The sequence below is a fragment of the Homo sapiens genome, chromosome X, assembly GCF_000001405.40.
Source record: "Homo sapiens chromosome X, GRCh38.p14 Primary Assembly".
Classification (NCBI taxonomy): Eukaryota; Metazoa; Chordata; class Mammalia; order Primates; family Hominidae; genus Homo; species Homo sapiens.
Window position 1 is genome coordinate 88499005 of NC_000023.11, and position 12489 is coordinate 88511493.

The 12489-nt window shown below is 34.3% G+C and overlaps 1 long non-coding RNA gene across 1 annotated transcript in view; it reads right to left on the bottom strand.

Annotated features, from left to right (window-relative positions):
- LOC107985713 (uncharacterized) overlaps positions 1-12489 on the bottom strand; it is a 119361-nt gene that overhangs the window by 4875 nt on the left and 101997 nt on the right. The gene's annotated exons all lie outside the window — the stretch shown is intronic.

The window sequence follows — 12489 nt, forward strand, 5'->3', positions numbered from 1 at the left end:
CAGTAAAAGAGAGAGGAGAAAATGGTTATGAATATTGGGAAAACACAAAAAATGATTCTTACTGTTAGTATTGTTTATTAGGCCCTTTAATGCTTGCTCTGTCTAGTCACCTTTAATGTCATTGTATGGTAATCTACATGCTTAACACTATATATATATTATTATTACTATTTTTTGAGACAGAGTCTTGCTCTGTTACCCAGGCTGGAGTGCAGTGGTGTGATCTCGTCTCACTGCAGCCTCTGCCTCCCGGGTTCAAGCGATTCTCCTGCCTCAGCCTCCAGAATAGCTGGGATTACAGGCATGCACCACCACATCCGGCTATTTTTGTTTTGTTTTGTTTTGTTTTTAATTTTTGAAGAGATGGGGGGTTTTGCCATGCTGGCCAGGCTGCTCTCAAACTTCTGGCCTCAAGGGATCCACCCACCTAGGCCTCCCAAAGTGCTAGGATTAAGACTATATATTAAAAAACATGTATTGATGTCTTAGAAAAAAATTCCCTGCATTAATAATGGGACTTGATTAACAGATGTTACACAGTTAATTGAAACAGAGTAAGCACTAAAGTTAATTGAAGCAAAGAAAATGCAGTATCAAGGTGTAGACATCTCCACTTAAGGTTCATATTTAGTGGGCAGTCATCCTAACAACACTGCTGAAGACCATAAAATTTAGTGTGTCAGATTTAGTAATAAAGTAGATAGATCATATTAAAATGCAGTAGAAGTACATAGTGTGAGAAAGTTTATGGGCCGTAGTATTTCGTCACATTCTCCTATATGATTGGATGCTGTATATTATAACGCAATCTTAAGATGTTCAAAATAAGGTTGGGGTACCGCTATAAAAACCCTGTAATGCAAAATAATTTAATCTCCCCAAGGTAAGTCTCTATATATGTTGCCTTCATGCTTTTAAAGGTTATGAGAAAAAATACCCTTTTAATACTAAGTGAAATCCAAAATACAATTAAGGACCTAGCTTTTGCATACGGGTTTAACTTTTGCCCTTTTATGTCAGCATTTTGCTCTGAAAGTATCAATGCCACACATTCTCTCAACAATGCAATCCTTTCTTGGTTTAGTTAATATCACCTTCCATAAACTTAGTAAACCTTTTGTCTTCTTTTCTAGAAAAGCTGGATTTTACTTTACTTGGAGTATAAGTCCATGAATATTTTGAAGGAACTTATTTTTAACATGCTGATCCTTCTATTAGTTTTAAGAGCATCTCATTACTTTTATGTAATTAAAATATAAGATACAGTGGTAATTAACTTGTCATCCCCCTCCTGTGGTGTTAATTGGACATATGAACAACTTCTTGCTCATTTTGGCTTTAATTTCTTCTGTGTTATTTTTTTAAAGTAAAAAAAAAATTGTAATTTTTTTGTATTAAAAATGGAAGATTGAAGATTAATGTAAGTTAAAAATATCAAATTGTATATGAATTTTACAAGTGTATTGAGTCCAAGAATGCTCTCAGTAATAGCAGTTTAATATATTTCTATTAAGAATTTAGAAATGTACATTGCAGTAAACATCAGAAAAAACAGAATCAGCTTCTTAATATACCAAGTGACTAAACAAATAAATCACAATGAATAAAGCTGAAGTATATTACCAGATCAATATGTAACATATCAATAAAATCATGGTTCAGAGGTGGCAACTGGATTAAATAAATATTTAAACTTATTAAAATCTTTGATAAAGTAAAAATAATCCTTAAAATATAAAGAAATGAAGATGAGTTTACCATGATTTTTATGAGTATAAAATGTATAAATAGACATGGTAGACATTAGGATATGATAAAGTAATATTGACAGTGATCTTAGTTTTTTAATTCACCACTTTAAAGCCAAAGAAAAATAGGTTTTTCTTTAGATGAAGGATTTTTTAAAACAGTTAACCAACTTAATAAAGGCCTCAGAAAATACAAAGTTAAGTCATTTTTGATGTGTTAAATGATGGCATAGGAAATATCAAAGTCCAATAGTCAGAAATTCATTGTACTGCTTTTTTTTTGCTTTTTTTTTTGACTCAGTAGGAAAAGCTTAACCCAAGAGTGCGCCACTGCACTCCAGCCTGGGTGACAGAGCAAGACTCCGTCTCAAAAAAAAAAAAAAAAAAAAAAAGAATAAGAATTATTGTATTTCTTCTCCTATAACTTATAGCTACTGTGGGAAGCTACTAATCTGATTTATCTAATATGCTGGTACAGTAGTCTATATGAAGATCTACTAAAAAAGTAATTTGAATATTCCTGATGTATTCAAATACATAAGACCTAATATCTTGCTTCCTAGGGTGCCGAAAATGAGTGAGGTTATTGTAGAGTAACTACTTACTAGCTCTAAGAACTTGTAGATGCATGGGAGAAATTCATGAATGTTAGAAAAGGGGCACTGGCAAAGGTGAATGTCTAGAAATTTTACATTTCTATGTTTAAGCTTTATGGCTTAGAAAATTATGATAATTAATTTTTCAAACCCTTAGAAAACTATGGGTTTCTAACTAACATTCATATGTTCAAAAAATACATTTCGGTATATTAAATGCTTTCTAAAATACAATTATAGGCTTGAGATATTAAGTAGAAATTACAGAAATCTGTCTTTATCTGGGAAGGTTTAATTCAGAGACAAGAATATATAATGAACAGAATAAAATGTGTAGTGTCAAGCATAAACTTTACTCAGAACTGAAGTTTCTGAGGCCATGATTAATGGTTAGATTTGAGGTATGAGAAGAACCAAAATGTTAAGACATACAGACACACACACATTTACATACACACATCACAAATAGCTTGCAAATGAAACCAAACAATAAGACCTATAGGCAGAAGAAAGAAAATTAGATACAATTTAGATAAGTTTGTACAAATTGAAAGACCCCACACAGGTCATTTAACTGCTATATAATTGTTTTCTCATTTGAGAAATTAGGGTGTTAGACTAGATAATTTTTAGGGTTTCTTATAGCTGTAAAATTTTACAAGTTTGTTAGAGACAACCTGCAGTTTAGAGGACAGTGTTTAAAATATCCAAATGTAATTTTTAAATACAAGGATATTTCCCTTCTCACTGACCAAATTTCCTCCCACAAACTCCACCTCAAACAAAAACTCTTTTATCAGGGAGAGGTAGATATTATCTTAGAGATCATTTTAGATCTGTTGATTTAAAATACAGTTTAAAATACAGTTGTCGTAGTAGTACTGCAATGTAGACATAAAAATAAGAAAAAATGTTTTGAAAGAAGAAACAACGGACCTTGGTGGTTGATTATACATGTGTGGAAGATAAGGTAAAAGGAGAAGAAAATTTAAATACATCTTTAATTTGTGAGCCTTGTACTTGACCAAATTATATTATCATAGATTAAATTGGGTGAGACAGATGAGGACATAGGTTTTGAATGGAAGATAACTACTTAAATTTTTAGAGATTGAATTTAAGAATATGGGCTTGAGTGTAAATATCCACTGAAAAATTTAAAGTACATGTTAGAAGCCTGATAGAGTTATCAAGGATAGGGTCTAATTTACACTACATACTAACTGAGGGTATTAGGCCTTTAAAATTTGTTTTTGTCTTATTTGTTAAAGTCAAGTAAGTACAAAATTTTGGCAAAGGGCCTGGCACATAAGTTCTAAATAATTGGCAGAATAATCCCTTCAATTTCCTTCATCAGTGTTTTATAGTTTTTATTGTAGAAATATTTTACTTCTCTTGTTAAAGTAATTCCTAGGTTTTTAATTTTATTTATAGCTAATTGGTTTCTTTTTTGGATTGTGTTCTGTTGATGGAAAGATGTTTCATGATCATGGATTAGAAGAATCAGTATTGTTAAAAAGTTCATACTACCCAAGGCAATCTATAGATTTAATGCAATCCTTATCAAATTATCAATGATATTCTTAACAGAAACAGAAAACAAAATCCTAAAATTAAATGAAACCACAAAATATAAAATAGCCACAGTTATACTGAGTTAAAAGAACAAAACTGGAAAAATCACATTTGGAAAAACTCCAAAGCATCACTCTTATCCTATTAGTATCTATAGCCATTGTGCTTCAAAATAAGACATTTTGCTTCACACTTGACATTAAAATAAATTCAAAAAATACTTTGTGTCGTAAGTACACTTTGAGTTTATATCCTGGGCCATGATAGTTTCTCTTTATATATTAGATCTTTTCTTAGTTTTGTCAAATGTGGTGACCTTCAGCTTTGTTAAGTGGGAATTCCTTAGCGTTCCACAGATTTGCCATGTTTTTCACATTCTTTCTCAAAGCGCCCTGACAACAAAACGAGACAAAAACATTATTGATATTTTTTATTTTAACATTATAGTGTAGAATATAACTAACTGATTGTTAGTGTAGAATACTGTATAGTGTAGAATATCACTAACTACAAATTACTTTTTAGTAGAGGAAAGTGTATTATATTTTCTGGTACAGTCTTGGTTTGTCACAAGTACAAAATTATAAATTGGACCAACAGGGAAAAAAAAAGAGACTATAGGAATGCATTACATAAATGTTAAGGGCAAAGATATATATACACCAAAAGTATATTCATAATTGTACACCAAAATCATTATTCATGATATTAGGTGAAGTATATGCTGTTACCTATTGTGACATTTGGTAGAGTTTTTATGATGGTTCAAATCTTAACCAATTTATTGAACTTTTAAAATGAAACCTTTGTTCATGTGGAAACTCCATCAAGGTTTCTAAATGTTACTAATACTTTTAGGCAAAATATCAAATTATTTTTATTGCTATGCCAGAAATTATAAGAATCATGTGTGCTATATAGGAATGTATTAATGAAAGTACAACAACAATTTTCAAAGAGGTTCTGAGAGATCCCTTCCCCCACTTGAGGAGAGGAGAGAGAAAAGTGGGGAGAATTTTGTCTTGCCTCTTGATACTGGCTCAGACACAATAGGGTAGGGCACCAGTCACAAAGACCTATTTCCTGGATGACACATCTAGAAACGTGATGGGCCACAAAAAAATCTAACTCCTGATTCCAGGCCTTGGCTCCTAGATGGCATTTGCAGGCTCTCACTGGGCCACAGGAGAGTCTGCTTTACTGAAGGGGGATACTCAGGCCTTGCAATATTCACCACAATCTGATGGAAGAGTCCTTGGTCCTTGAGTGTACATCTGTGATAGCCAGGCAGTATTTGCCATAGGCCTGGGGTGATGGTGGCCATTGGGAGAGATTCCTCTGCTTTAGGAGAGAAGAGGGAAGAGTGGGAAGAACTTTGTCTTGTGGCTTGGGTGCCAGGTCAGTCACAGTAGAATAGAGCACTAAGTCGATTCCTAAGATTCCCAAATCAAGGCTCTGATTCCTAGATGATATCTCTGAACCCAAGCAGGGTCTAGGGGAGATGCACTGCCCAGAAAGGAAGGAGACATACCTGGTGGAATTCACCACTTAATAGTAGAGCCCTTGGGACTTGATCGAAAGTAAATGTTAGTCAGGCAGTGACCACTGTGGACTTGGTGAAAGACCTAGTGCTGTGCTGGCTTTGGGTCTGACTCAGCACAGTCCCAGTGGTTGTGGCCACAGTGTTGCTTGTGGCACTCCTTCCCCAACTCCACACACCTACACGCACGTGCACACACACACACACACACACACACAGACAGAGAGAGAGAGACTCCATTTGTTTGGAGGAAAGTAAGGGAAATGAACAATATACTCTGCCTGGTAGTTCAGAGAATTCTCTCTCATCTTTCCTAAGACCATTAAGGTGGTACTCATTGAGTCAACAAGAGCCACAGCGTTACTGGGCTTGGAGTGCTTATTAATGCAAATACAGCTTCACTGATCATAGACTTAGATCACAACATCCAAGTCCCTTTGAATACTTGGGAATTGCTCCCAAGAAGGATGGATACAAACAAGCTTAGACTGTGAAGACTACATAAATACCTAACACTTCAATGCCCAGATATTGATAAACATTCACAAACATGAAGACACCAATGACCAATCCAGGAGAAACAGAGATATGTGACCTTTCAAACAAAATATTCAAAATAGTTGTTTTGCTGAAGCTCAATGAAATTCAAGATAACACACAGAGAGAAGATATTCAGAATTCTATCATATAAATTTAACAAAGATATTAAAACAGAAAGAATAAAGCAGAAATTTTGAAGCTATAAAATTCAATTATGTTGAAGAATGCTTCAGAGTCTCTTAAAAGGAGAACTGATCAAGCAGAAGAAAGAATTAGTGAGCTAAAAGACAGGCGATTTTAAAATACATGCCCAGAGGAGCCAAAAGAAAAGAGAATCCAAAAGAAGAAAGTGTGCCCACTGGATCTGGAAAATAGCCTCAAAAGGGCAAATGTCAGAGTTATTGGTCTTAAAGAAGATGTAGAGAGAGAAATAGAGGCAGAAAGTTTATTCAAAGGGATAATAACAGAGAACTTTCCAAACCTAGAGAAACATATCAATATTAAAGCACAAGGAGGTTACAGAACACCAAGGAGATTTAATCCAATAGGACTACTTCCAAACATTTAATAATCAACCATCCAAATGTCAAAGGCAAAGAAAGGATTCCAAAAACAGAAAGAGAAAATAAATAAATAACATACAATGATGCTCCAATATGTCTATCAGCAGACTTTTCAGTGGAAATCTTACAGACCAGGAGAGAGTGGTATGACATATTGAAGTGCTAAAGAGAAAAAAAATCTAAGGGCCGGGGATGGTGGCTCACGCCTGTAATCCCAGCAGTTTGGAAGGCCAAGGTGGGCAGATCACGAGGTCAAGAGATCGAGACCATCTTGGCCAACATGGTGAAACCCCGTCTCTACCAAAAATACAAAAATTAGCTGGGCATGGTGGGGCGCTCCTGTAATCCCAGCTACTCAGGAGGATGAGGCAGGAGAATGGCTTGTACCCAGGAGGCGGAAGTTGAAGTGAGCCGAGATTGCGCCACTGCCCTCCAGCCTGGTGACAGAGCAAGACTCCATCTCAAAAAAAAAAAAAAAAAAAAAGGAAAAAAATGTAAGAATAGTATATCCAGTGAAAATATCCATCAAACATGAAGGAGAAATTATTTCCCAGATGAACAAAAGCTGAGGGATTTCATCAACACCAACCTGTCCTAAAAGAAATGTTAAAGGGTCTTATTTATTTAGTCTGCAAGAAAAGGATGTTAATGAGCAGTAAGTAATCATCTGAAGGTACAATAGTCACTGGTAATAGTAAGTACACAGAAAAACACAGAATATTATAACACTGTAATTGGGGTGTGTCAACTACTCATATCCTTCAGTTGAAAGAATAAAAGATAAACTTATCAAAAATTATAACTAAAGCAAATGTAAAAGGCATAAAGAGTATAATAATATAAGAATAGAAACAAAAAAAGTAGGGGAGATGAAGTTGAAGCATCGAGTTTTTATTAGTTTTCTTATTGCTTGTTTATTTATGAAATCAGTGTTAAATGACAGAAGTATGAAATAATAGGTTATGAGATATTATTTGCAAGCCTCATTGTAGCCTCAAATTAAAAAAAAAATACAATGGATACACAAAAAATAAAATGGAAGAAATTAAACATATGACTGGAGAAAATTACCTTTAATAAAGGAAGACAGAAATGAAGGAAAGAAGGAAGAAAAGACCAGAAAACAAATAACAACATGGTAGGAGTAAGTCTTTACTTATCAACAGTAACATTGAATGTAAATGGACTAAACAATAAAAAGACATAGAGTAGATGAATGGATTAAAAAAAATCCTAATGATCTGTTTCCTACAAGAAACACACTTTAAAGACACATGTAGTCTGAAACTAAAGAGATGAAAAAAAAATTCCATGCCAACAGAAACCATCAAAGAACAATAGTAGCTATACTTATGTCAGACAAAATACAATTCATTACAAAAACTATAACAAGAGTAAAAGTAGGTATTATGTATGATAAAGAAGGCAATTCAGAAAGAGGATATAACAATTATAAATATATATTCACTCAACAATGGAGCACCATTGTGGCCAGCCAGGTCTCACTAATTCAGGCCTCCATTACAATAGTCCCAGTACTTACTGTGTAACTAAGTTAAACATTTAAAGCTGATTGAGCCAGTGCCCTTCTACAAAGCCTGGACTGTATAACAAAGAGCCCACGAAGAGTTTTGCCTAGGCTTTTCCTGGGCCCTGAAGCATGACAAGATAATGAAGGAATTCTTAACAGGACCCTTTTAGGATGAAACAAGTTTTATTGGGGGTATGAAGAAACTCCCCAGGCTTCCACAAATACGTTTATTGGGGTCTAAAGAAACTCCTCAAACCTTTATGATTTAGAGGAGATAAGATAAGGGTAATCACCCCAGCACCTAGACCCATTAAGATTAAGTAAATTTACTGAGCCTCCAGAAGAAGGTCTTCAAGACTCAGGCCTTAGTTACAGGTTAAAAGAAATTAATCCCTTATGTCTTTAGATGAACGCACACTTACATGTAGGCATATAGCTTAGAAGGTATATAAGCTCTGGAAAACTTTGTAATTTTGAGTTGGTCTGGTGATAATTTCCAGGCCTTCTCCCTGTAACCAGTTGCAGAAAACAAAAACTCTTCTTACTCTTTTTCTCCCCAGTTCACCTGCATCTCATTACTGGGCCACGAGAAATAGCAGCCCAGCCCTCAGTTTGGTCCAGGAACACCCAGATATACAAACAAAATATTATTAGAGCTAAAAAAGAAGATAGATGCCAATACAATAATAGCTGGAGACTTTAATACCCCACTTTCAGCACTGGACAGATTATGCAGACAGGAAATCAACAAAGAAACATTGCAATGAATTTGCACTATAGACCAAAGGGACCTAATGGATATTTACAGAACATTTCATTCCATGGCTGCAGAATAAACATTATTCTCCTCAGCACATGCATCATTCTCAATAATAGACCCTGTGTTATTCTCATTCCTCAGTTTCCATGTACTCCTTGGGAGGTTACCATAGCTGATGAAGGATGTGTGCAGAAGTCAAAACACTAAGAAAACACTGACAGGGCAGAAGGGATTCAGTGGCTACAAGATGGCTGGGCCAAACCTTATTGAATTATTTTTAGTACCTCCCTGCCATCTTGCCACATGGCCTGAATGCAACATAATATCAGAAGTGGATGGTTTTTGGTCAGAGTTCCAAAATTGGGAGACCAAGAGAACCTGAATGTAAAGGAGAGGGAGGACTTTGGGAAAGCAGGCCCACAAAGCTGTTTTTAAAATCCTGAACTTGCCTAAGACTAATTCATGGGTAAAATCTCAATTTTCTTGCCACAGTTTTTGAGAACTAACACATAGATCTTATTTTCAGGTGGAGACTGACAACTAGGCAATGATTACATGTGACAGATCATATAAACAATACAATGGCTTTGAAAACAAAATTGACGTTTGAACCACAGCCCATAGAATGTGGATAAGAACTCACAGCCTGAACCAAATATATGTCAATTGTCTGTTAAAACAAAATATTAGCCCTCTGTATAGGATGTAAAGAAGACCTAAAGTCTCAGAATATAATATTCAAAATCTCCAGGCTACAATTTAAAATTACTCAGGCTATCAATAAGTGCAAACAATTAAAAGACACCAATAAAGAGATGACACAGATGTTAGAATTACCAGTAAAAGTATGTTATCAAAAAATTGTTCAAACTTTTGAATGAGAAATTATGATGATCTTGAAACAAAGATTACAATAAAAATATCACCAGGAAATGAAATACATTTAAAGAACCAAGTGCCATCGGGGGTCTTTCCTCTGGCAAGGGTATCTCAAGCTTGTCAGAAGCTACCCTTTCCAGGTAGTTATTAAAACTGGGCCTCTCCTCCACTTTGGACAAAAAAGTGTGCTTCCTTAGGTGATTGCTTTTTGTATTGGAATTTATCTACTTGCCCTCCCACCTGCTCAGTGTCTCTGGGCATGGATAAGGAGTGTCAGAAATTCCTCTTTTTGTCACATGCTTTTGCTTTTAATATTTTTTTCTTCTAACGTTCTTTAGTTAAACTATAAGAAATATCAATATAGATTTCTTTATACTATTCCAGTGTAGGATATTTGGACTCCCTAAATTTGAGGATTTGTGTATTTATTCAATCAGCAGTACAAATTACTCAGGCTGTGTCTATTTAAAAACTCACTAATTTGTCAAAGTTGTGTGGCCTCCCTTGCTGTAACATTTAGTCAACATCTGAAGTCATTCTGTACTTAAATACCTCATTTGCCAAAGTTGTGGGACCCCTCTTGCTGTAATGTATATTCAACATTTGTTGAATTTTTCATCCTGTACTTATTTCTTAATTGTTCTTGTTACAATCATCCCTCCCCTGTTTGTGATTTAGCTTTCTGTGGTGTTTCAGTTACCCTCAGACAAGCACAGTTCAAAAATAGGTGAGAACAATACAATTATATATACACATATAATATATTAATTACATATAAATTATTATATATATTGTATGTAAGGAGAGACCACATTCACATTATTTTTATTTAGTATATTTTTATAACTATTATATTTTTTATTTTTTCTTGTTTTTCTCTTATGGTGACTTGTAAATTGAACTTTATCATAGGTATTCATGTATTAAAAAACATAGTATATACAGTGTTCAGTACTATCTGTGGTTTTGTGCATTTACTGGGGGTCTTGGAATGTATTCCCCACAGATAAGAGTAAAACTACTGTAAATATTTATTTTTGTTTGTGTACTGCACACTGTAAAAATTATTAAGCTCTTAATTCTGGTTTCTTATGTATGCATTTATGTTTAATCGTTTGTCAAATCATTAGTTTCAATGTACTTTTTATTACAAATGATTCTATTTTTTCTTTTGGTCAAATTAGGCTTTTTTAAAGTAATGCTTTTTTCTTTTAGTAGGATTTTCAATCTACCTTTTATGGCCATGTTTGAATCAGGTGTTGAGCAGCTTTCATGGACTATTTCTTTCTGTTGCAAGTTTAGGAGCCTAAGTGTTGCTTTTGTCTTGAATTCTTGAATAGCCCAAGTTTTTGTTGTTGTTGTTGTTGTTGTTTAGAACAGGTTCATGGTGTCTTTGGCAATATATTTATCTCTAAATATAGTGGGCTTTATGTCTACTTTCTTCTTATCAATTTCATGTACCAGAAACTTCATCCAAAATTTTTTTATTGAAATAAATTTCATGTTCAATCTGTTTTTTTGGCTTGGGCTGCATGCCCCTCTGTCTCTCGCATTATTGTTAACAACTATAAATCCATTAGAAATAATACGTGGAAAGGCCACATTTTTAATTTGATCTTTATGGCAGAGATGATTTTTTTTTTATTGAGTAAACTTACTATTCCATTGTCCCTTAAAATCTTCAGTCTTATCTTTTACTATGTAGGGCCTCAAAGCAATGGGCTTTCCTATTTCTATGGAGACGCTGATCTCTGAGTTCTGTCTACTAGTCCTGTCAGGACACTTGAAAATAAGCTAAATCTTATATGAGCTCATTTATTTCTAAGAATACTTTGCAAAATGCATATACTAGCCAAAGCACAGCAATTCTTCTCACTCACTTCCCATAGTGCTACAGACTCTCTAGGCACAAGATGTGCATTACAAAACATTGTAAGCAACAGTTTTACAAAATATATTACACTCCATAATTTAAAATTTTCAAACTTGAATATTAGTTTCCTCACTCCACAACTGAGCCAGTCCCAAGTATTATTTTTTCCATAAGAACAGCTTACTTTTATGTATTTTGCTTGATAAGTATTGTGCATCTTGTAGAATACACAGTAAGCAATAATCATTTTTAAATGTTGATAAATTTGACTGCAAGAAAATTAAGAAATTCATCAAAATGTCTACTAAAGGTGAAAACACAAATTACTATCTTTGAGAAGACATTGAAACACAAAGATTAGAGAAAGAGTCACAATCCGCAATCTGCATAATCAAGAAATCCAAAATAAACAATTGAATAGAAAATGGGAGAAGAAACCTTGTTTTATTATGTCACTTTCCTCTCATATCCCTTTGTCGTTTTTTGTGCATACATTTGCTGGTATTCCTTCATTCCTAAGAGCCAACATATGAGACTTTTTATAGAGGAAGTTTGAATAGTTTGAATAGTTTGGTTTAGCTTATCTAAATGGGAAGTAGAAATTAACTGGGAAACTGCATTGTTCCAGCAGAACCCCTTAACGGAGTAATTGATTGTGGTGGCATGAATGTTCATTGCTCTCTTCAGCATCCCACAGCTATACTGATAATTGTGCCACAGAAACACTTCCTCATAAAATACCACTGTGTGAATCCTCTCTAGTTCAGGGAGCTAAAATCTATGATCGACACAAACTCTCACTTTAAATAGAGAACACAAGCAGCAAACCAACATATGAAATGAAACAAAATTTTAGTGGTCAGGGAAATAAAAATTAAGTTTAT